At 35.5% G+C, this 26,791-nt stretch overlaps 1 protein-coding gene across 6 annotated transcripts in view, besides 1 other annotated feature; it reads left to right on the plus strand.

Moving 5' to 3' along the window:
• The window catches only part of NKAIN3 (sodium/potassium transporting ATPase interacting 3), a 750,799-nt gene that overhangs the window by 287,698 nt on the left and 436,310 nt on the right, over positions 1-26,791 (plus strand). The gene's annotated exons all lie outside the window — the stretch shown is intronic.
• Positions 26,110-26,687: an enhancer, noted in NCBI's record as "NANOG hESC enhancer chr8:63475220-63475797 (GRCh37/hg19 assembly coordinates)". NCBI's record gives its function as "activates a minimal SCP1, AML or CMV promoter by ChIP-STARR-seq in primed H9 embryonic stem cells {active_cell/tissue: H9 hESC(primed)}" and the evidence as "EXISTENCE:reporter gene assay evidence [ECO:0000049][PMID:30033119]".

Raw genomic sequence — 26,791 nt, forward strand, 5'->3', positions numbered from 1 at the left:
CTGAATGTTCCAAGTGGTGGCTGTGGGGACACATCTAGTAAGGCCTGAGGAAAACATGACAAACAGGGACAGGTTTTGAGACCATGAGGCTGTCTCTGGAAGAACCTATAAAATCCTTTTGAAATATTTGCTATTTTTTCTTGTTACCTGAATTAAATTTTCTTTGACAAGTGAAGCAGTTAGAGTTCAGATGGGTTACTTGCCCATATTCTCTTAAATTATATTGGAATACTGGCAATAAACTTTAGTTCACTTTTCCCAAACTGAAATACATTTTTATATACAATCTAAACAGTTCTTAGCCTGTATTCCAGCAATCTACGAGGCCCTCATGGGGAGAGAATAATGATCTGTGGACTTGGCTCCATATCACTGAGAACCTCTGCTCTCCCATCAGGAGAGAAAAGACAGCCACAGTTGTTGAAACTCAGGGAGCAGGGACAGGCAGACATGGCAACACACACTGAAATGTTGGATTTTTGCATCAAGCCCTATAGCACTTCAGGAAAAAGAAAGAAAAGACAACCAGTTACCTTATGTCTTTACTTTGGGATACATTCTGGGTAGAGGCATATTTTGAATAAGGACAAAGTACTAACAATATCTTGGCAATTAAACTTAGGAAGAATTCGCTATGTAATTGGTTGTTGTTTCATCAAGCAGGGCCTACTCTAGAATTTCTGTATTGGTGTGGCTCAGGAACAACAGTGTAGTTAGAAGGAAGAGGTTAAGGACTCTTTGAAGCTCATTTGCTAAATAAAGGAACTGATTTTACTTAGGGAATACCAATAAGGTTTAAAATATGCCTTTATTTAAATTTCACATAATATTCTTTCTACTTAAGCAGTTCTTTCTTCATGGGGGCTGGAAGAGGAAGCCAATATAAGTTATTGGGGATCTAAAGCATTTTACACTGCTGCAAGGTGCCCAGAAAGTTTTAAAGGTTTCGTAAGTGATGTTGGTTTCTGTTAGGAGAAAATTCTTCCCCAGTCTTACTTCTGAAGAATCAGGAAGAGTCTCCTTTTTTTATTTTGACTATATTACTCCAAGCCACTTCTCCCTAACTGCATTTTGTTATATCTAGTAATGCTTTAATGCCCCCTTTTGTTTATTCAACAACTCTCAATTAGCAATTTTTGAGCACTAATGTGTAGTTGCAGAAATATCAGTTATGAATTCTTTAAGAATCTCAGAAAATAAATCCTATTTGACAACATGCAAGAACCTCATCACATGTAAAATGGAGCTGGTGACTCAAAGTTGGCATACTTTCTGAGCCACTTTGGTCAGGTTGCTTTTGGAAGATACTGCTGCTCAACACTGGATTTGCAGAATCTGGTGCAGGAGAATATTTACTTTCTTCCACAACCTCAGATAAACCAAGTTCAATGACAGTGCTGCATCATTTGTGTGCCTGGCCTCACAGTGGATGGCAACTGTGATTATCCCCAGAGTCTGGGGTCCATGCCAGGAGCTGCTTCCCCTGACAGAAAGCAGGTGTCTGAACACAGGGAAAGGGAAAGGAAAACAGAGCCCTGAGGAGCTTTGAAAAATTCTAGATCTGGCTTGATCTCTATACAAGTACTTTGGAAAGGTAGTTCTTATGATGAGGTAGCTTGTTTGTTGTTGTTTTTGTTGTTGTTGAGACAGGGCCTCACTGTTGCCCAGGCTGGAGTGCAGTGGTGCAATCTTGGCTCACTGCAGCATCGACCTCTCAGGCTCAAGCAATCCTCCCACCTCACACTCCTGAGTAGCAAGGACCATAGGCACCCACCACTACACACGGCTAATTTGTTGTATTTTTGGCAGAAATGGGTTTCACCAAGTTGCCTAGGCTGTTCTCGAGCTCCTGAGCTCAAGCAATTCCCCCACCTCGGCCTCCCAAAGTGCTGGGATTACAGGCATGAGCCACCACTCGCAGCCATAAAGTAGCTTTATAGTTTTCCTTAACTTTTCCCCCCTCCAAAGTAAACCTTAAACAGACTTCCAAAAGAAAGTGGTTTTAAAGTGTCTATTGCCATAAATTTCACATGGAATAATTTCAGCCACATAATCAATTCTTGTGGGATTTCATGTTATCAGAGGATTTTCTACTAGTAACAAATTTCAGATATTCCATATCACTAAATATGATTTCAGCCTCTGTGGTCTCAGGCGAATTTGCTGTTGGTCTCCGTGTTCTTGTTTTGTCAGTATGTTCCTATACATTACATAGCACTTTTTCCACAACGAGTTTTTCCTACTACCTTGAATCCTAGTAGATGACTACTTTTTCTAATTTTGAGAAATTGAACATATGCAAGTTCATTTAAGCAGGTAATGAAATATATAATGCCATTGCTTACCACTTTATCCCCTTACCTTATTTCATTTTACTTTGTATCATTTTACATATTAAATAATTGCCTGTTTGTTTATCTGCTCCCACTATCCTTTAAGCACCTAGAAAAATGCCCAACTCAGGAGGGTCATTCAGTGTATGTTTGGCAAATGAATACTTGATATTGGAAGGGCATCCAGTTCTCTGAACTTTGAATCCTGATACACTATCTACCAACTCCTGTGTCTGTGTCCTGAAACGTGTTTATCATTCTCACATTGGTGCTGGAACTATCTGAAATGATATCCATTCCTTTTGAGCTTGAATGCAAAATTAGCAACATCATTTTACAAATGTGACACCAGGAAGAATTAATTTCTTGAAAGATAACTCAGTAGAAATGATTTCATCATTAAGGGGAAAGTTATCAGAATTGCAAAATGCAAACATCCAAAACAATGAAGGGAAACTAAAGGCTTTACCTGAAACATCCAAAAAGTCCATTGTAAAACTGACAGAAAACAAGTGTAGGGATTTATTTCAGCTTTACTGCAGTGTGAAATTGGCCATTTGTTATAGACTCTTCCTATAAATCACCAAAATTAGAGGTATATGGTGTGCAGATCTTTAAAAAGATTCAGAGTTTCTTCTGATCAATCACACAAAGACATCAAATAACACCTACACTGCACCTGGGTGGTGTTTTTGTTTGTTTGTTTGTTTGTTTGTTTTGTTTTTGAGACGGTCTTGCTCTGTCATCCAGGCTGGAGTGCAGTGGTGCAATCATGGCTCACCACATCCTCGATCGCGTGAGCTCAAGCAATCCTCCCACCTCAGCCACCCAGGTGGCTGGGACTACAGGTGTGCACAACCACACCTGGCTAATTTTAGTAGAGACAAGGTATCACTGTGTTGCCCAGGCTGGTCTCTATCTCTGGGCTCAAGTGATCTTCCCACCTCAGCATCTGAAAGTGTTGGGATTCAGGCATGAGCCACTTTACCTAGCCAGGTGCTTTTTTTAAGTAAGCATTCTAAAGTGTGTCAGTCAATCACTTTCAAACAAAAGGCAATAAATGATCTATGCATTGCTTCACCTTGTGTTAATAAATATTTTGTCAGCCTTACCTCATGGAGAACTGTAACACTCTTGGTGACTATTATGGTATTTTATTGCTTTTATTTTTATCAAAGTTAGATACATCAACATAATTTAACAATCATTTAGTTCAACAATCATATAAAAAACATCATTTTCTTCTCTGTCTCCCATTCCTAATTTCTGCTCTCAAAAGGAAACAATTTACAACTCTTCTTATTGTTTATTTTGTCATTTACCTCCAAATCACTCAAAAATGTGCTTTAGCTGCTTTCTCTTTTTTAGCTTTATACAATTCACTAGTAAATTTTCACCTTGAAAGAGATTTAACATTTTTCGCTATCCCCTACCAGTTTCAAACCCTCCCACTCATAATTAACCTCCTACTACCTACCCAGTATAAGTAAATCATAATTTTTGATGGATCAGTTTTCAGTGTTTACATAACTATGTAAGAACTATTCATAAGTGAGCCATGTAGTGTACTACATTTCCATTCTTATAGTCATATCTTTTCATTTATTTGTTTTCTACCTTTTTGTCTCCAATTAACCTCCAACTCTACTCCATAGTATAAATTGGTCAATATGTTCAAACACATTGGCTCTTCTATAAATTTTATCTTCTTGGAGACATGTTTCTCAGAACCCTCTGGCTTAAAATAGAGAGTTTAGAGTAGCCTCTCTAGACCTATTCTTCAGCTGTCATCCGAAGAGCTCCCTCAATCATCATTTTGAGGGTGTGTGATGTTCATGTGTGTGTGTGTGTTGTCTTTTTTTAATAAATAATCTCCTATTGTCTAGATCCCATGTCTTTTGCATTTTTGGTTCACTCTTTATTATGATAAAGTGTTTCCTTCAGTCTTGAAAAAAAAGGGTGAAAGAAGATGTTTTGTTTTTTCTTAGAATCTATGTGTCCAAAATTGTTTTATTCCATCCTATCATTCAAATGGGAGTTTGGCTATAAACAAAACTGTAATTTCAAAATTGTTTTCCCCTCAAATTTTTAAGACACTAGTTTGTTCATGAGCTTCCAGTGTTGGATTAAAAAGTCCAGAGCCAACCAGGCTCAGTGGCTAATGCTTTTAATCCCAGAACTTTGGGAGGCTGAGGTGGGGGGATCACTTGAGGTCAGGAGTTCAAGACCAGCCTGGCCAACATGGTGAAACCCGGTCTCAACTAAAAATACAAGAAAAAAAAAATAGCCAGGTGTGGTGGCACATGCCTGTAGTCTCAGCTACTCAGTAGGCTGAGGCAGGAGAACTGCTAGAACCTGGGAGGGGGGAGGATGCAGTAAGTCAAGATCTCACCACTGCACTCCAGCCTGGGTTACAGAGCAAAACTCTGTCTCAGAAAACAAACAAATAAAAAATAAATAAATAATGCAATTTAAAAAAGAAGTCCAATGCTATTCTGATTTCAAACTACCTGTAGAACATCTCCTTCCTGGCCCAAGTTAATAGAATCCTCTTTTTGTATCCACTGTTCTGAAATGTCCTAACAATGTAGCTTTTTGGAGTAATTTTCATTCATTTTTCTGGATGCTTGTTTGTGAGGAGAAGGGTCTTTTATCTGAAAACTTTTTCTTGTGCTCTGAGAAGGTCTATTAAATTATTGTGTTTTCTGTTCTTTCCTTAAAAACTTCCATGATTTTGATATTGCACCACTCATCTTTTTTCTATTATCCATTTTTTTGCTTTTAATTCTATTTTCTCAAATTTATCTTATTTTTTTCATCTATTATCTTTTAAATTTCAAGCTCTTTTTATGCATTTCTGATGTTTCTCATAGCATTATATCTTTGCTTTATAAAGGTAATCTCTTATTTTTCTGAAAATATAAATGACACATTTGAAGTTGTTCTTAATTATTGTTGAACTTTTTTCTCCCTGCAAATCTTTCTTCTTTGTTGCTTTTTAAACTTTTAAAATGTCTTTTATGTTAAAGTTGTGTTTTGATCCCTAACTGCTGACATTTAAGAGTGAGTTAATAAAAAACTCCATTCATGTGAGTGGGGCTTGCTGCCTGTGGACCTCACTGTAAATCTGGCTAGATTGCTTCACTGAGAAGACTCAAATGACAGTACTCATAGGTCTTTTCTCCTGGTCTGGTCAAATCCCTCAGAGAGGCTCTTTCCCCTGAGAGTAAAAACACAAATCCCAGTGTTCTGGAACCACATCTGGGAAGAGAGCTGAGAAGTGGCAGTTTTTAATACTAAATTCATAGATTTTTGTGTAACCCTCTAGCTTTCATTATGGAAGCTTTACTCCCAATTAGCTTTGGTTGCCTACTCTAAATTCTTTCTGGATCACCATATCTAGAGGGTAAGTGTTCCATCTTCTGCCAGAATTAAGAAGGGACAGTCATTCTGCTGCATGGAGTGAAAAGGGGTTTCTCAGGTCTAACTGTTCTTTGTTTTTTTTGGATAAAACAACATGATATATGTGAACTTTATTTGCGTAACTATGAAATATTAAACAAATGCCAGATTAATCAACATATAAGAACAAAGTATACTCAGAATTTAGAAGACAAAACTAAACATGAATCTAGAAAGGGTAAGCATATAATGGATGACATCTCTATCTATAACAGTCATCCACCATAAAAAGACCATTTGAGTTCCTCTATCCCAAGTCCAACAAGGTAATTAGGTATTTCAGAAAAAAAAAGTGACTAATTTGTAATTACTCACGCAATATTTAAACCACATGTTAAAAACGGGATACATGTTAAAACATGTTAAACATGTTAAAAATGGGATAGTGTCTACCCATGTACCTACAATCAAACATAAGAAAGAGTCCTCCATGCAGTTAAATGTTCCTTATATGTCATTGCATGATTGCCCTTGTTCTGGCTTTGCTATTTGTTTTTCCCACATGCATATATATCTAAGCAATGTGTAGTAATTTCCATGTTGTTAAGCAGGCAAGTATTAATGCAGTACACTGGCTACCTAAAAAGGCAGAAGCTAGTTTCAGAGTTGCCATGGCTCTTGTATTTCTGATCTCAGGAGCACATAATGAGACACTGAAGTGGTGGAAAGAGGTGCCATGTAAGTATCTATACTCATAATTGCAAGCTTGCTTGGTTGCTAAATAACATTTAGAATGAATGTTTCTCTCAACATTCAGTCTCTTTGCGACATAACCCATACTTGAAGGGGTGATCTCTTCAACAAAAGGTATATATTAAAGGATTCAGGCAAATCATCTGGTTGTCTGAGACTGATGGTGTTGCTGCCTCAGAGTTCCACACTCATATTATTTTTTGGATCAGTTTTTCACCTGCTGGTTTCTTCTAGCATTTCAGGCTACTAGCCTTCCTTTGGTCCATCTAGCTCATAGATGCCCTATAGAGAATTTAGAAATCATTCATTTCCCTTCCATGCCCACTTCAGAAGTAACATGCAAAGGAATCATATAAACTTCATTCTAGTAAATTATGTATTCAGTGTCTATATAAATAGTGGGTCAGAGGCAGAACAGATGATGTTGCTCAATAGCTTCAATGTGACACCTTTGAGGGTCCCATAGAAGACGCTATAAATCACTTTGCAGAACACCTTTGGAATTAGTGGAAACATAGATGCCAACACATCCTCTGAATTGTCTGTCACATTGGCCTAGAGTGTAATAGTTCATGGGTACCGTACTCTTAGCACCCAGAGCCAATGCTAACCTTTTATCTGCTTTATATGAGTTCATTAATTATTGGGTACTTTGGCAAAATCTTTGCCAATGTGTAACATTTGTAATACATAAGAAACTGAAAATCTCAGATTGATTTTCTGAATGTAATTCTCTTCCACTGTTGGCATACCATTTTAGATGTTTGGTAAAATATAACTGTTATGCTTCTTCTCCCAAGGGTTTGTAAGGTTGTTATATTATGTCTTATTTTTATTTTTTTATCAGTGCAAAAAGTAAAACTTACAGAAAATTTTTAACTGGAGTAAAATAAGAGAAATGTCAAAGACATTATCTAGAGTCCCATTAATCAAAGGGAATTGCTGCTAATTTTGTGTAACTGTATTTATTTATTTATTTTGAGACAAGTTCTCACTCTATTACCCAGGCTGGAGTACAGTGGTGCAATTATAGCTCACTGCGACCTCTGCCTCCGGGGCTCAAGAGATCCTCCCACCTCAGCCTCCCAAGTAGCCAGAACTACAGGTGCACACTGCCACATCTGGCTAATTTTTAGTATTTTTTGTACAGACATAGTCTCACCATGTTGCCCAGGCTGGTCTGAAACCCCTGGGCTCAAGCAATCCTCCTGCCTCAGACTCCCAAAGTGCTGGGATTACAGCTGTGAGCCACTGAATCCAGACTTGTGTATTTTTTTCAACTTATTTTATCTTCTTTCTATGAGAATAGAAACAAAATTAAACATGCTATTTTTAAAAGATAATTTTTGTGATTGCAATAATACATGTTTACTATAGAAAATTTGAAAAATACACAACTATATAAGACATTTAAACCCAGAATTTTACTACTCAGATACAAACACTTTAAAACTTTATATTTACATATTTCTTTAAGGCCTCATTTTTCATTTTTAATCAAAAAAGTAGTAAATGCTTATTTTAAAAACTATAGATAACACAGATTTATATAGCATAAATAATTTAGATTCCCCTTTCAGCCCTATTATCCCCTAAAGTTCTTCAAAGTATAGCCTCTTTAAAGTTTGTTTTATATTTTCCCAGACATCCTTCTAAGTGTTTACAATATTTGTATAAAGTACAAACAATCCTTGAACAACATGGGGCACTGATTCCCCTTGCAGCTAAAAATTTGCATATAACTTTTGACTCTCCTAAAACATATTAAGTAATTACTAATAGCCTATTGTTGATGGAAGGCTTAACAATGAAATAGTCATTTAACACATATTTTGTACGTTATATGTATTATATATTGTATTCTTACAATAAAATAAACTGGAGAAAAGAGAATATTATTAAGAAAATCATAAGGAAGATAAAATATAATTGCTGTTTACTAAGTGGAAGTGAATCATCATAAAGTTCTTCAGCCTCATAGGCTGAGGAGGAGGAAGAAGAGGAGGAGTTGGTCTGGCTGTCTTGGGAACTGAGTTGAAAGGAAATTCACATAAAATTGAACCCATGCAGCTCAAACCCATGTTGTTTAAGGGTCAGCTATACATATTTCCTAAGATCCAAAAATACAATGCCTATTATACACACTAACCTAAATGTATGTATGCACCAAACTTTAAATTTACTGACATAAATACAATTATAGCATACATCCTATTCCACAACTTGCCTTTTAAATTTGGTCATTTTAAATGAGCACCTCTTCCACTGGGCATGGTGGCTCATGCCTGTAATCCCAACACTTTGGGAGGCTTGAAGTTGGTGGATCATTTGAGGCCAGGAGTTCAAGACCAGCCCAGTCAGCATGGCAAAACCTCATCTCTACTAAAAATACAAAAATTAGCAGGGTGTGTCCCAGCTACTCAGGAGGCTGAGGTAGGAGAATTACTTGAACCTGGGAGGTGGAGGTTGCAGTGAGCTGAGATCATACCATTGCACTCTAGCCTGAGCAACAGAGCAAGACTGTCTAAATAAATAAATAATGAAATAAATAAATAAATCAGCACACCTTCTATCTCACTGCATATAAATTGATCTCATTCTTTCTAAAGACTGCATGGAATTGATGTGCAATAATTTATGTAAAAACTCTCCAATTGACAGACACTTGTCAGTTGTTTCCAGAATTATTTTCCATTGTTTACTGTTACACAAAACACTGCTGTGTGTATCTGTGTACATAAACCATTTTGCATAGGTATGTAAAAATTTTTCAATCAAATAGATTCCTAGAAATAGAATTATTCAATCAAAAAATATACAAATGTTAATGGAAGGTCCAATTGCTTTCCAAAAAGGCAGTGTAAGTCACAAAAATATATAAACATGCCCGTTTCTTCAAACTCTTACTAATACTGAATATTGTTAATCTTTAAACATTTACCAATCTGAGAAGTACAAAAATACTGGTTTTTATTTTAATATACATTTCTGTGAGTTTGAGCATTTATCCAAACACGATCTTTTGCAAGTAGACTGACTGCTTGCTGCTGGTTGTCTGACATTCTGGATAGCAGATGAAAAGCTACATTCCCCAGCATGCATTGCTTCCAGGGCTTGTCTTATTCTTACCTTTGTCTACAATAGGTTAATGCGTTCCTTGTGTGCTCGTATCAGAATCTGAGGAAAAGAGTCAAGAGACTTTCACTACACCATCCATACTACAATCTCATTCATTTCCTAGGCATGATATTAGAGTAGATATAAGAAAAATCACCTATGGGGACAAAGCTAATGCAGTACACTGGCTACCAAAAAAAAGCAGAAGCCAGTTTCAGAGTTGCTATGGCTGTTGCATTTCTGATCTCAGGAGCACATAATGAGATGCTGAAGTGGTAGGAAGAGGTGGCATGTAAGTAGCTACACTCATAATTGCAAGCTTGCTTGTTTCTAAATAACAAAGCACAAGTAGGCACCCATTGTGCTTTTTGGTCCAGTTATAGCAGTAATTACTTCTCCCAGGTTCTTCAAATGGCCTATTGCTTGTGTATTACTTTGGTGAATTTTCACTGTTTTGGTGTCTTCATCATTATCACTGTTTGGATTTGGAAAGGCCATGTCATGAGTATAAACCAGACACTATTTCAAACCAGAAGTTTCTGGAATGCCTCTGGATAAATTATTCTCTATGATTTCACTTCTATTTAAACATAACCTTTAAAAATATTGGAAAGTGTAAGAAAAGGAAATAAAATTGTAGATGTTTAGGGCTTGCCTTACACTTAGAATGCTGTCCCTGGGATTCTGACAGAGGGTGCCAAGAAAGCAGCACAGCTTTAAATATTGAATGATGGGATTTGTGCCAAGGTAGCATATGGTTTTATGTGAACAATGAATATTCTATTATCTCATGTGTGATGCCAGGGAGGAAAGTGGATTTGTGGAGACCTGGTGCAGCTGAGCCTACACAGGAGACAATCCTTTTCATTACTGTTGTCTATCTGTGGTCTAAAGATGGATTGAAAGACTCACTTGAGGAGGGCAGACAAGGGTGAAGTTGTTAATGAGTTACAACTGTGCCCAAAAAAGACATCAGCAATTGCTATGATCAAATAAATTTTAATGACTTGAGAGTGTCTCTAGTGATCTGTATTTTATGTGAGCTGCCTGGATTTTCTTACATTAGCATCATGGTGATTTCAACCCTGTCCTTAGAGAGATCTCCACTGGTACATGTCTCTCTTAACTCCTTCTCAGTTACTAACATAGGACCACATCTGCTCTGCAAATCTCAGACATTCAATTTTCTTCTATATGAGTTTGCCGAAAGCAAAGATAACTAGATGAAGCCTTGTGTAAAAAGGACTATCATTAATAATAGTAAAAATAAGGTTCTTGCTTATGGTGTTTTAAGTTGACTGTCAGGGGCTACATCTTGTTTATTTATTTCTGATCAAACTGAAAAACTCAAAGGCCAGTAATCTGATGGTGAGTGAGGAGGTTAGAAATCTATATTACAGGGCTTCAGTGATTTCAAAAAGTGCCATTGTTTGAGTCTGCTTTAAAATACTTGTAGAATTTCAAGGCCACTATTTAAAATGGCTTCTGCCCACCAGCTCAGTGATGGTCTTAACATGATAGATTTGCTCCTCCAACTTCCAGCAGCATTTAGATATCAAGTGTTGGGGTCAGCTGTTACTGGGCTTCAAGCTGTGAGGAGAGCCTGGGTTGACTATTCCCCATTGCCATATTGATTGGCACACAATGTGGCATGCTATGGAGATGAAGGCATCCTCTAAGACAGTGCTGCTCAAATTTGAATGCACGTAACATCACCTGGGGACCACATTAAAAAGCAGAGTCAGATGTTGTACTTCTTGATGAGACACAGGATTCTGCATTTCTCTCAAGCTCCCAGGTGATACTGATGTGGATGCTGCTGGTTCACAGCCCGTACTTTGAGTACACATGGCCTTATGTTTTAAATCTTGTAATTCTAGCTGAAGGTACAAACGCAACCTCTGTTGGCTCCTAATCTCTTGCCTTGTTCATCTCATAGAACCTGTCCACTCTTATGCCCTCCTGGACTCCTACCTGCACACAAGTGAACAGAAATTCAATTTCTACTGTGACAAAAAGGTGATCTATATTTCTTCTGAAAATACCTTCATTCCTCACAACTTCAACTAGCTAGAGTTGAACTTTAATAAATGAACTGAAAATATATTCAGTATTTTAATGTTTGAAACATACTTAACATTTTACTGAACAAGAGATATAATACTTGGAGCATGTGTTAAGAATGGTAGTGTTGATGAAATGGTGATCAAATATATTTTAGATTCCAAGCTATTACTTCTCTGTCAGGACTCAGTCTGCCCCTGTCCAGGGGCCTGGGGCTATAGCCCTTACAGAGCCACGGCTCCCCCTGTGTCGGGGGTCATTACGCTGCACTGACAGCCAGCTCTGATGCTTTCCATTCTGTCCAGGCACCACAGAGTCCTGGGCACCTTTAAGTGCTCAATGAATGTTAGTGGAAAAAAAATCCTTATTGGAACAAATAAAGCAAATTATGGCACGTCAAACCAGTGGAGTAAAATGTCAGAAAATAAAAATTGTGAAAATTCTAACATGGAAATTTTATATTTTGTTAAGTAAAAAAGAGCTGGATATAATAGTGTACTTTTTATGTTTACAATTATATGTATGTATGTACATAGTTTATAAAAATATATATAATAGTATATATATACAATTGTAAACATGGAAAATATATATATGATGAACAAATAAAATGAAACATTGAAAAATGAAAACATAGGCTAGTCATGGAACTGATTATTATTTAACTTCTTTATAAAATTATTCCTTTTTCATATTACAGTTTTCAGTAAGTTACAGGTAAAGAAGAAGCTATGATAAGTAATATTTTAGCATCATTAGGTATCATTCTTGCTTCCCTCCACATGCTTAATCTTTCAAAAGCCTGCTCTAAGACTCTCTAGAGAAATTGAAGCAAATTTTGAAAACATTTAATTAACTTTAAGAGTGAATAAATTTTTTCTAGATTATGTTCATGCTCTCCTTTTACTGTGAACGCTATAGTATTTCCTAAAATTTGCTGAAACTCACAGGGTCCTTAAGAAAGAGCTTTTGCCTATACATTTTAATATTTTCTCACCCAGGCACTCAGTAAAATGAGTAATAGTCTGTCAGTAATTCACCTTATTAAACGAAGTATAGCAAAACGCTCACATCTTTAAATCCAATTGTTTTCTCTGCTGCACTTCTTTTTTTGGGGGATCGGAGGGGGGCCTGTTCCACATAGTTAGGTTATTTTTGTTTAATTTAAAATTTTTTTTTCCTTGTCATACTGTGTAAAATTTAGCCTCAATAAGAAGTATGGCCTTTCATCTTTCTGCTTAAAACTGAAAAATTTAAAAAGGTTTTCCCATAAAACCAGCTAGTGGCTGATAGGATCACTTTAAATTTTGCATTTTTACCTGAGAAGTAAAGAAATAGTCTGCCTAGAAATTTGACAACAGGAGTCCTTGTAGGAATAGTTTGGCTAATGGCAGTAGATAAATCTCTTTTTCTTACACTAGCCTATTGATCCTTCTCTTATCCAAGTGGACATTCTTTCTCCCATTCTTTTCCCTGCCAGTTTTTCTCTCTTCTCTATCTCCTACTCTTTTTCTCTCTTAAATAATCTGCCTTGCTAGATAAAAGTTTTAGAATTGATTTTTATTCCAAACTTACTAAGGTGATATTTACATATTCAAATACATGCACGTGCATACCTGAACGTGTATACTGTGCCATTATTCTACACTTTGAGAAGCCCAATACTCATGAAAAGAAAAACTGAGTCTCCCTTTGCTCACCTTGTACCTCTAGGGCCTACTAGATCACTGGACATGGGTAGCTATTTGTATGTTTATTCAAAAAATGGCTATGTGGATTAAAGTATGAATGGATCCTATTAGTGAGATAAAAACTAGTTATGGAGACCAAGTTATTAGAAACTCTTACAATTATAATACATGGGTCCACATTTGACTGCTCTTTTGCTAGCACTGTCAATCATGTAGCTATGTTAAGAAACATTTCTCTTTCTCTTTTGCTTTGCTATTTGCCATCAAACTATGGCCTTTAAAAGGTGTTTACCTTTTTATTTTCATGCCTGCTCCCCTTTTTTCCTTTGATAAATATGACAACACTTAGAAGCTTTAATTCCATCTTCTTTGAACTAGGACAGCACTTGGTGTATGATTCTCATATGTCATTCTGCTTTATCATTTGGAGACTTATCACCCTTACTAGATTTTAAGTTCTTTTAGGAACGTAATGATTTCTATGGGATTGTGCGCGTGTGCGCGTGTGTGTGGTGGGGGAGGGAGTTGTTGTTTTCAGTTGTTGTTTCTCTAAATCTTTAACAGAGACCTATAGGTTCCTAGAAAATCACTGGCATTGGCTGAATTGAACTTGGAATTTGAGACATTCTCTATGAACAATGAGACGCAGTTACATTAAACAGTGTTTATCCAAAAATGGAGAGTAGAAATGAGTTTAAAAGAGTAAAGTTCTCAAGGAAAACTCTCTAAAGCAAAAATGCAGATTGGATTTGCATGCAAATAAAAAGCCTTGAGTGTATTTAATGTGACCCAATAAAATTAGAGGTGCTACAAATTTTAAGGAATTTTATAGATTCTTGAAACAGAATCTCCTTTGTTATAGGAAATGGGAAGAAGAGTGAGTATGTACAAGAAGAAGAGTTCAGATATGTTTTTGTCTGGCACAAGGAGAATAATACAAATTCCTAGTATATTTCTAAATCCCAACTCTGGTGTCCTAGGAGCACTTTGTAACTATTGATATCTGCCAAGAGGTCCTGAGATCACCTCTGCCACTCTCTTCCTCCTCTCTGCCACTGCACTGCAGTTTTTGTATGGCTGAATTCTTTGCCTGTCTCCTTAACATGACGGCTTTGCATGGGTCCTGGCATCACACTTAGGCCTTGAAGCAGAGTAGAGAGCTAAACACATAAAGTATTGCTTATACAAGTCACAGAGTGAATAATAATACGAAGAGAGAAAACTTCCATCAGGTGGTTATTCTGGAATTCAAGAATACAATTTCTATAGCTACATTAATTTTTTTTAATGGTGCTTCTCCTAAGTAGATAAGAGGGAATGAAGAGGAACAGCGGGAAGGAAAGAGTAAAAGTGGAGTCTCTAGTCTCCTGTACTTCATTCTTAGGATCTACTTCTGTAATCTGAACAGTCATACGGCAGTAGAGTTTTTGTTTTGTTTTTGGTCTTGATTTTTAGAACTAGCTGGTTTAGTTTGAAACATCAGTGCAATTGAACATGATGAGGAGGGAAATTCAAGGAGTTGTAGGAATTATGCCTACCAGTGCCTTAGTAATTATTTTAATAGAGAAACCTAAGAAAGAATCTTTAAAATGGAGAGAAATTGATATTGTATTGTTTGTATGTTTGGTGCTGGAATAGGGCTCGCCCCTGACTTACAAACTTTTGACTTAGCCCACAGAGGTCAGAGAGGACAAAACACTATGTTGTTTGAACAGTTGTTTTGAGACCGTTGGAAAATGAGTTTGTAATGGGTCCCATGCACAGAAAGCAGAGGTATATCATTATAAAAACCAACCAGTCACTTTGTTGGTAGTTTTAGCAAAAGAATTTTAGATGCAGGACTCAGGTGGGAAATATGCAAAACATCTTATTCTTGGAATATTGGTAGACAAACCTTCATATCAGAGATATTTCTGGCCATCTACATTTTACTTATCCTGCTTCTTTGGCTTGATTAATTGCTCTTGAAAACACTTGCTATACTTTTACTCAGGTAGAAAACTTTTCTCTTTGATCACATTTCTTGGCAAATGTTTTTGATCAAATTTCATGGAAAATATTAAAGTCATTAAAAATGTGGGCCTTTCCATTATGTTCTTTATGCCTTGATCCAGGACATAATTCATTTACTAGACACATAACTATTGAATTTCACATCTTCTGTATATTGCGGTGCAACACATATAATTGTTGTGAAAGTTGACAGTGAAGACCTCACTGATTATTGTTTGAGCTACATTTACATATCATGATCAGTTGTAATGTTTCTTGTTTTATTTCCAAGTATGGTTCTCATTTCTCATTTATTTTAAGAAAATTTATTCTAGTTAACTTGGTTAAAAGAAAAATAGTACTCTGCTTCCAGATCGTCACTGAAAAAATACTAGTTCATAATTTTGCCAAGCTATTCACAGCATGAGTCTGATAATCCCTCGATGGAGAGTTTGATGATTTCTTTGCACTGTTGATCTGTCATAATGCAAAACTTCCAAATTCTTCTTAGTTAAACCATAAAGAGAAAGAAAGTCCAATCTCAATGAACAATCTATTCACATCTCCTGTTGTTATGGATGTCACTATTTAATGAGTGAAGGAGCATCCAATTCTTATTAAACTGTATCCTGAATGGTACTGCATGGAACAAATGAAAAATGAAACATGCCATTTCTGAGATTGATGCCAGTTTTCCTGCTTCTCTTTTGTCTGGTTTGATATGTTGAAATCTCAGTTAATGCTCTTGACAAGTATGTACACTTTCAGTTGCCAGCCAGGTCTTAACTTTCACAAAAGAACTGCTGGAGAAGTTCTGGCCCTGAGAAAGCTGCTGAGATAAAAGCCACCTTTCATTAAAAACGCCACTTCTCCCCTGTGTGTGGTGTGCCCTAATGTGCAACAACACAATCACTAGAAGGTGATTCTGAAAGCAGAGGTAGAAAGAAAATTGCTGGATCCATGGTTGGCAGCACAGGGTTACATGAAGTTGGCCATACAATTGCAATCATGCTGGTAAGTCAATATGGGTTGCCATGGAGAGATGGCTATAAGAAGAAAAACAGATGGTGGTAGTTGTGGTGGAGACAAAGAAATAAAAGCCCCAAATCTCCTTCCAAGTAAAAGTTACATAGAATTCAGCAATTTGGGGAAGAATGACATTGTGTATGCTTGGAAAGTTTATATTGCTATTTTTATCACTCTAGTGCAGAAATGTATCATTAAAATCATCACATTATTCACCTACTTAATTCCCAGCTCTGGACTCACCCCTTCCACTTGGCTTGCCAAACCATTCTCCTTATTTCATTCAACTCGTGTCAATACCCACTTTATTTATTACTAAATCTATTATGATTTAAAGCAAGATTGCCCACTAAATATTTGCATTACAAATTCTCTCAAAAAGTTTGTCTTTTCTTTCTCTGAAGAAAAATGAATGTCATTTAATACAGATTTATTGTGCAGCCACAATATGCAAACCATTGTTACATTCCTTATTTATATGCTATGCTATAAAAATAGAAGCTGATCTAGGCCTTGGATTATTAAAACCTTGCATCTTACAGTACAAATAGTTTTTCCCTCTAATGTTTACACGATGAAAATGAGCATGTTGTATTTTTATACTGAACACTTTTTTTTTTTTTTTGAGACAGAATCTCGCTCTGTCACTCAGGCTGGAGTACAGTGGCGCGATCTCGGCTCACTGCCACCTCTGCCTCCTGGGTTCAAGCGATTCTCTTGCCTCAGCCTCCCGAACAGCTGGGATTACAGGCACCCACCAACACACCCGGCTAATTTTTGTATTTTCTACTGGAGACAGGGTTTCACTATGTTGGCCAGGCTGGTCTTGAACACCCGACCTCAAGTGATCTGCTCGCCTCAGCCTCCCAAAGTGCTGGGATTACAGGTGTGAGCCACCACACCTGGCCCTGAACACATTCTTATCCATAAGTTTCTAAAAATGTACAATTTAATGATGGAAACTCAGACTTTAATCACTATTATAGGAGAGGATTTCTACTTTTACTTGTTCCAATATTTAGCATTAGGAAACAATATCTCTTGATGGAAAACTAGATGCATGCCATTTCCTACTTCACCTCAACATACAGCGATGACTTGTGTTAGTAGTTTCCTAATAAAGCACATCAGTGAAATTTTGCTACCTTGAAAAAATAGATACTTTTCTTTGTAATTCCATAGAGGGACATGTAATAGAGGCAATCTCTTACTTGAGATTAGAAACATCTTTGGAACACTTATGGCCTCATGATAGAATAATTTTTCTGTACATCACTACTGTTAAAAACAACTGTAAACATCAGATTTTTATTTTTAGAAAGTTTTACTTACATCAGTGAGCTAACAAGAAACTAACTAGTTCTGAACTTGAGCTTCAGTTTCCAAGATTCAAAGAATGAGAAAGAAGAGACAAATCCTAAAGGAATACTCAAGCTAGGAGTCTAATAGAAGAATCTTTTAATGAAGCAGGAACCCCAAACAACTACAACTTCAAAATAAATTTGAACTAGACCTAACCCATCCCCAGAAAATAAATCAAATTGTCTGCCTCCAGTCTTGGTTTTAAGTGGAGAAACAGAAAAATTTCTCCTGAATATTCACGAAAATAAGTTATTCTTTACATGGATTTGTAAACTAAATTCACATCACTTGAATAATTAATAAAACATATAAGCAATAATTTATTTTAAATGGTACTAGGCTATTGGTACCTCAAGGCATCAGGCAAACAGAGATGAAAATCCAAAAACAAATAAAATTCCTACCTGAAATTATTTAAATTCAAAATAAATCACAAAATTTTCCAAAGATATGCTTAACAATAATCCTGGTGTTGCACATTAGATTTCCAGACTTACTCATCCTACATAACTGCCACTTTGAACCCTTTGACTTATATCTCCCCACACCCCACTTCCACCCCTGATAACCATCACTCACTCTCTGTTTGTATGTATGTGGCTTTTATTAATTCTAAATATAAGTGAGATTATGCAGTATTTTTCTTTTCCTGTTTGGCTCTTTTCACTTGGCATAATGCCCTCCAGGTTCATCTATGCTGTCACAAATGGCAGAATCTATACACACACACACACACACACACACACACACACACACACACACACATGCCTAGCTATGTGAGAAGATGGATATGTCATTTTGCTTGACTGTAGTAATTATTTCACTGTGAATATGTATGCCACAATGTCATGTTGTATACCTTAAATATATGCAATATAAAAACTCCCAAAGATAAAATTTCAAAGAACTAAATTCACAATAAAAAATTCAGAATACATAAAGAACCAAGGTATCATACTTGTGAGGTGATAGAAAAAACAAATAGCTGAATTAAATCCACAAATATATTTGACATAGAATATTAAATAAGTATAAGGTAATATGCTTAAAAAATGAAAGAGTTTTGAAATGAAGAAGGAGTAAAATGACTAAGCATATTTGAATAAGAAACAAAACAGAATTAACAGAACTAAGATATAGTATTTTTTAAAGAAAACTAAGTGGATAGGGTTAGCAGATTCAAAAGAATGGAAGAAAAAAGAGTGTGAAAATATTTCTAAGGATATTATACAGAAAGTAGTACAGAAAAATAAGATTTAGAAAGTATAGGCAATTAAGAGACATGGGAATAGAATGAGAAGTTCTCTGTTACTTACTGGAGGTTTAGTAGGAAAAAAAGACAGAGATATACTAGGATAAGTGTAAATGTTTAAAGAGGAAATGGCTGTGAATTTTTCAAAACAAATGAAAAGCAACAATCATCAAATTCCAGGAAGACTGCAAATTACCAAGAAAGATACATTTTTTAAAATTCCACACAAAGAGATATTGTAGTCAATCTTCAAAACTTCAAGAACATAGAAATATTTTAAGACCTGATAGAGTAAAAGAAAACGGACAAATTTTCTCCAGAAGAAAATAGTCACTTCCTGCTAGCATCATGAGAATCAAGCACATTTTTAATATACAGAAATTAAAATGTGCCTAATGGAAAATGTCTAAAAGTATTTCAGTGAAATAAACATACCTTCAAGTGAAAAAAAATGGAAATATTTTCCATCAAGAGACTCTCATTTAACAAATTGGAAAGTATATTCTTTAGGAGGAAAAATATTTTTCAGAAAGAAAGTCTGAGAGACAAGAAGAAATGATGAACAAGGAAGTGGTGTATATATATTGGTAAACCAGACACTAACATTGACTGAATAAAATAATATTAATAATGTCAATAGAACAGTATACATTAGAAAATACCTATTTGGGGAATTATGGTGTTCTAAGGTGATTATATTGTCTTTGGAAGAAGTAAAAGATAATGATTAACTTCAAACATTGATAACATATATGTATGCTACCTTTTGTAGGGTAACTAAAAACAGTAAATAACTCATATATATTTGAAACAAAGGAAAAAATGAAAATGGAAAAAACTGATCAACTCAAAAGAAGGACATAAAGTAGAAAAAAGGAGCCTAGAAATTATTAATAAAATTGAAACTAGGATAATAGAAACACAACTAAATATATCACAACTCAATAAATGTAATTATACAAAAGAGTTGACTTAAAAGACAAAGATTCTCAGGTGAGACTGAAAAATAAGTCCAGCTATATAATATATAGGAATATAGAAAGTATGCAATTGAAAGTATGAAAAAGTGGTATTAATCAAATACTAAAGCAAAGCAAGGTGATATAGCTATGCCAGATATAATAGAATTTAAGGCAAAAAAACATTATAATGGATAAATATTATAATAAAATATTAAATTTGTCAAAAAGTATAGCCATTTTGAACTTATATTAATCTAAAAAGTGGCATCAAATATATAAAGCAAAAATCTTAAGAGCTAAAAGATAACGTAAAAACCCACCATCCTATTGGACTATTTTAACACACATGGTTTAGTGCTTGAGAGATCAACTAAAGTGAAAGTATGTAAAAGATATATTTATATTTAACTTAAAAGTTGCAAAATATACTTTTAAATTTTTTTTTATTTCGGTAGGTTATTGAGGAACAGTTCGTGTTTGGTTACATGAGTAAGTTCTTAGTGGCGATTTGTGAGATTTTGGTGCACCCATCACCTGAGCAGTATACACTGTACCTCATTCCCTTCCCATCCTTTCCCTAAAGTCCACTGTGTCATTGTTATGCCTCTACATACTCATAGCTTAGCTCCCACTTATGAGTGAGAACATATGATGTTTGGTTTTCCATTCCTGAGTTACTTCACTTAGAGCAATAGTCTCCAGTCTCATCCAGGTTGCTGTGAATGCCATTAATTCATTTTTATGGCTGAGTAGTATTGCATCATGTATATATACCACAGTTTCTTTATTCACTTGTTGGTTGATGGGCATTTGGGTTGGTTCTACATTGTTGCAGTTGTGAATTGTGCTGCTATAAACATGCATGTACAAGTATCTTTTTCATATGATGAATTATTTTCCTTTAGGTAGATACCCTGTAATGGGATTGCTGGATCAAATAGCAGTTCTACTTTTAGCTCTTAAAAAAAAATGTTCACACTGTTTTCTAAAGTGGTTGTACTAGTTTACATTCCCACCAGCAGTGTAGAAGTGTTCCCTGTTTACCACATCCACGCCAGCATCTACTGGTTTTTGATTTTTTGATTATGGCCATTCTAGCAGGAGTAAGGTGGTATTGCATTGTGGTTTTGTTTTGCATTTCCCTGATCATTAGTGATGTTGAGCAGTTTTCATATGTTTGTTGACCATTTGTATATCTTCTTTTGTGGGTTGTCTATTCATGTTCTTAGCCTGCTTTTTGATGGAATTGTTTGTTTATGTCTTGCTATTTTGTTTGAGTTCGTTGTACATTCTGGATATTAGTCCTTTGTTGGATGTATAGATTGTGAATATTTTCTCCCACACTGTGGGTTGTCTGTTTGCTCTGCTGACTGTTCCTTTTGCTGTGCAAAAGCTCTTTAGTTTAATTAAGTCCCAGCTATTTTTCTTTGTTTTTATTGCATTTGCTTTTGAGTTCTTGGTCGTGAAATCCTTGCCTAAGTCAATGTCTAGAAGTGTTTTTCCAATGCTATCTTCCAGAATTTTTATAGTTTCAGGTCTTAGATTTAAGTCCTTGACCCATCTTGAGTTGATTTTTGTGTAAGGTGAGAGAGGAGGATCCAGTTTCATTCTCTTCCATGTGGCTTGCCATTCATCCCAGCACAACTTGTTGAATAGGGTGTCCTTTCCCCACTTTATGCTGTTGTTTGCTTTGTCAAAGGTCATTTGGCTTTAAGTATTTGGGTTTGTTTCTGGGTTCTCTATTCTGTTTCATTGGTCTATGTGCCTGTTTTTATACCACTACCATGCTGTTTCAGTGACTATGGCCTTATAGTATAGCTTGAAATCAGGTAATGTGATGCCTCCAGATTTGTTCTTTTTGGTTAGTCTTGCTTTGTCTGTGAGGGCTCTTTTTTGGTTCCATATGAATTTTAGGATTTCTTTTTCTAGTTATGTGAAGAATGATGGTAGTATTTTGATGGGAATTGCATTGAATTTGTAGATTTCTTTTGGCAGTACGGCCATTTTCACAATATTGAGTCTACCCATCCATGGGCAAAAATGCACATTTTAAAAGTCAGTTATAGAACAATTATGAAAATTGCTAACATTATGATTCATAAGACAAGTCTCAACAAACATATTACTGGTGGTATCCTTTTGATTAATTTTCTCTATTGTTTTTTTGTTTTCAAATTCATTGATTTCTCCTTATCTCTACCATTTCCTTTCTCCTGCACACTTGGGTTTATTTTGTTCTTTTTCTAGGTTTTTCAGGTGGGAGCCCAGATTACTGATTTGAACTTTTTCTTTTTCTAATATATGCATTAATTTTATCCTTTAAATTTCCCTCTCAACATGTTTAAGCTGTGTCCCACAAACATTGGCATGTTGTTTTTGCTTTCATACAGTTCCAGGTGTTTTTCTTCCTATAGAGACTTTTTATTTGAAGATAGCTTAATTAGAAGTGTGTTGTTTAGTTTCAAAGTTTGAGAGAGTTTCTTGTGTTTCTGCTATTAATTTCCAGTTTGAGTCCATTTTGGTCAAAGAACAAACTGCCAGTTTCAATTCTTTTTAATTTGTTGAAATTTGATTATGCCTCCAAATATGGTCTATCTGATATATTTTATAGAAATTGAAAAGAATATGTTTTCTACTGCTTCTGGGTAGCAGAAGCAATGGGATCTAGTTGTTTGATTATATTGGTAATTTTCTTTGTGCTGTAGTATACTTTTTTTTATATTAATATAGCCACTTTGGCTGTCCTTTGATTGAGGTTTCCATAATACACTCATTTTTAGCCTTTGAATTTTAACCTGCCTATATAATTTATTTGAAGTGAGTTTTTTGTAGATAACATACAGATGTGTTTTTTAATCTACTCTGACAATTGTTTTATTGATTTATTTAGGCCATTTATATTTCATGTGATTCTCAACATATTAAGACAAAAGCCTAACATTTTAGTTTTCACTTTCTGTTTTTTCTCATTTGTAAAATTTCTCTCCTTTCTTTCCCTGCCTTCCTTTAGGTTACTTGGACATTTTTTAGATTGCCATTTTAATATATCTATAGTGATTTTGAGTGTATCTCCATGCATAGCTTTTTTAGTGGTTTCTCTCAGGGTGGCATACATATAAGAGTCTTTCAGTGTTATTGTTTTACCATTTCAGGGATAGTATAAATACCTTATGTTTCTTTACATCTCTTTGCTTCCTCATTTTTATAATATAATTGTTTTAAATATTTTCTTCACATATATTTGGTACCACAACAGATGGCATTATCAATTTTGCTTCCACCATAACATATAATTTAGAAAGCTCAAGAGGAGAAAGAAAACCTACTGTATTTACCCATATCTGTAATTCTTTCTGGTGTCCTGTTGCTTCAAAATTTCTTATTTGATCATTTTATTTCTATTTTGAGAACTCTCTTTAGCCTTTTCTTCAGGGTAAGTCTGCTGGCAACAAATTTTGTCAAGAACAAGTTTTTCTTTATCTGAGACTGTCCTGATTTCTACTCATTCCTAAAGGTTATTTTTGCAGAATATAGGATACTTGGTAAACAGTTTTATGTTTTTAGCAAGGATTTGAGAAATATTTTGCTTTTCATTCTGGCTTTTGTAATTTCTACAATAAATATTTTGTCATTCATATTGTTTCTTCTGCAAGTAAGCTATTGTCTTTGGCTGCTATCAATATAAATTTATCTGTGTTTAAATTTCTGAAGTTTAATTACGATATAGCTTGCCATGAATTTATTTGGGTTTATTCTTGTCAAGATTTACTCATCTTCTTGCATCTGTAGGTTTATTTCTCTTGCTAAATTTGGGGAGTTTTCAGCCATTATTTCCTCAGGTATTTTTTAGCCTTACCCTGTCTCCTCTCTTTCCAGTATTCTAGTGACTTAAATGTCAGATATTTTGTTATAATACCACAGGACTTTCAGTCTTTGTTCATTTTTTTCAGCCTATTTTCTGTATATTATTCATATGCATAATTTTTATTATTTCATTTTCCAGTTCACTGAATCTTTTTTCTTTTCTTTTTTTTTTTTTTTTTTTTTTTTTGAGACGAAGTTTCTCTCTTGTCACCCAGGCTGTAGTGCAATGGCATCATCTCAGCTCACTACAACCTCCGCCTCCTGGGTTCAAGCAATTCTCCTGCCTCAGCCTCCCAAGTAGCTGAGATTACAGGCACCCACCACCACGCCTGGCTAATTTTTATATTTTTTAGTAGAGATGGGGTTTCACCATGGTGGCCAGGCTGACCCTGAACTCCTGACCTCAGGTAATACACCCGTCTCGGCCTCCCAAAATGCTGGGATTACAGGGGTGAGCCATCACGGAATCTTTTCTCTCTCCTCTCCTTTCTGTTGTAGATCCTATCTACTGAGCTTTTAATTTCATTTATCATATTTTCAAGTTCTACAATTTTTTATTCTTCTTTATATCTCCCATTTCTTAGCTGAGACTTTTTATTTTTTGTTGAAGATCTTTAATCTCCCATTTGTTTCAAGCCAGTTTGTATGTGGTGTTTGACTAGAGTATAATGGTTATTGTCTAAAAGTTTTCTCTCTTGCTAGGCTGCCCTTTTCCTGCTCCTTTGGCTAAAGAGAGAAGGATATGGAGGTGAGGGGCTTTTTTGTTTGCACTCATTGACATTTCTGAGTTACCAATTTTACCTCTTCCAAATGTGAGTTATATGCAGCAAAAAGAAAACCCAGGGAAATCATCACCTCATGATTCCTCAGGTAGCTGGATGTTTTGCCATCTTCTCTCCACTTTTTAGAGTTATTTTGTGTTTATTGTATACATGATGGTTAAAGTTTTTGGATGTACTTAGCAAGAGGACTATAGAAAAGCATGTCTACTACATCTTCCTGCAGGTGGAAGTCTTCTCTGTATTTTGTTGAGTTTATTCCTATAAACTTGCTACTGCAGATTTAAAAATCCATGAATGAGGCACAAATAAAAAGTTGTCTGTATACCACTTTATAAACTCCACATGTGTTTAATAAAATATTTAAGCAATGTAGGAATTACTCTAAAGCTTCGGGGAGAGGCCATACTGTGGTGTAAAAATCTGAAGGAGGTCCTCACGTTCGTTCCAATAATCACTAGTTGTGTTTCTTCATTGTGGTAGGTGTTTCTTCAAATCTCTGTAAAATTAGGGCAAAAATACTCACTTCATAGAGTTTCTAAATTAGGATTAATGAGATACTGTACATAATGCCAACCACAAAATAATGATGGGCAAATACTAACACTTCCCCTAGCTTTATCAGAAATGGAAATAGATTTGTAAAAACATGAGTCTTTATTTTACTTTAAAATATGGGGCTTGTTGAAACATAGGTCATAGCATTGTAAATATGTGTTTTTGTAATGTTAACACTTTCAGCTAAAGTGTGGAATAGTGATTAATTACATTTATTGCCTATAAAATCATCAGAAAAGTCATTATTCCTATAAAGAAACTTACAAATATGGATTCTTCCTGGAAGCAAGAATGAGGGTGTGGCTGAGATGAAAGCTCAGGGTGTTGACAGTGTATCTCCATATGACCACCTGCATCAGAGGTCAAGGACTTAACACTTAGATCCCTGTCACTAGCAGAGAAGCCAGGAGACAGAGCATTTGATAGCTTCTGTTTTATTTAGCCTCTTTATACACATATATTCTTTAAAAACCTTGAAAATTAAGAGGCTAATCAAACTTTCAAACTTTCCTGGTCCTTCAAGAAACATTCCAATGTCCACAGAGTATGAGAGCATGATGAAAAGAAATGAGTGTCCCTTGAGAGTTGTTTAAAAGTGTTTGTCCCTTGAGATGTTGAAGAGTAAAAACACCCACATAAAGTTGACGAAGACCGTTTCACCAGGTTAGGTCACAGCTTTTCATTAATGATAAATGTGAAGAAGAAAAAAATAAAATGCAAGGTTACAGCAGAAATACTTCTATCTTTTTCTAACGTTTTCATTAGTTCTACAACCAAGGACACATTCTACTGTCAGTGGTTTACTGCAACTGTCAATGGTTTACCTTTCCCAGGATATGAACAGAAATAGAGTACTCAAGAAGCTGCTACGTATTTAATTTAGGGTAGCAGAAAAAAGGCAAAAAGAAAGATAAGTAGTTGATGGTGTTAACCTACTTTAACACCATCAACTGTGTGTTACTTAAGCGTTTCTTGTACATGTTGATTTTCAAATGAGAGTCACTTATCTATAGCATAAGTACTTTCACACGTACAAGGGGTTTTTTTCTATATATTATTTTCTAAAGAGGAAACATTTAATTTCGTTTCCAAATGAAATATCTAGTTCTTGCTGAAAATGTGTACTTTAAAGAGACTTTTTAAAAGAAGAACTCCTTGCAGGTGGTCTCTATCACAAATAAACATGAGAAAAGGTTCTTAGAGAAACTTTTGGCCCGTAACCCTGTCTCCTGTCGTCTCATGCTGGGTTGCCATTTACGTAAAACCACTGTGGGAGTCTTAAATGTCATGGTAGCTGTGTTCCTGCCAGCTTGTTTGTGGGATTGTGTGGGTCACCTATCCTAGGGGCTCAACTTTAGTGCTCTCAGGTTCATTATGGCTCCACTGGAGAGTTGAAATTCAATCTCCAATCACTGTTCTGTAACAAATTGGCAAGTTGGGCTTTTGCTAAAATGGCTGCCTTATTCCTGGCTTAAGCTATTTGTGGACTATAACTGCATTTTTTAAGGGTGCCTTTTGCATGGGAGTTAGAAGGAAGAGGAGTTAGGTTTTGGGACAATTTTTGGCAGAGGAAGGATACTTAGAAGCTGAATCAAATGATGAAGTCGCACTCTTTGAGATCAAGCAATATCCTTGA

This window comes from Homo sapiens, chromosome 8, assembly GCF_000001405.40.
Source record: "Homo sapiens chromosome 8, GRCh38.p14 Primary Assembly".
NCBI classification, from domain to species: Eukaryota; Metazoa; Chordata; class Mammalia; order Primates; family Hominidae; genus Homo; species Homo sapiens.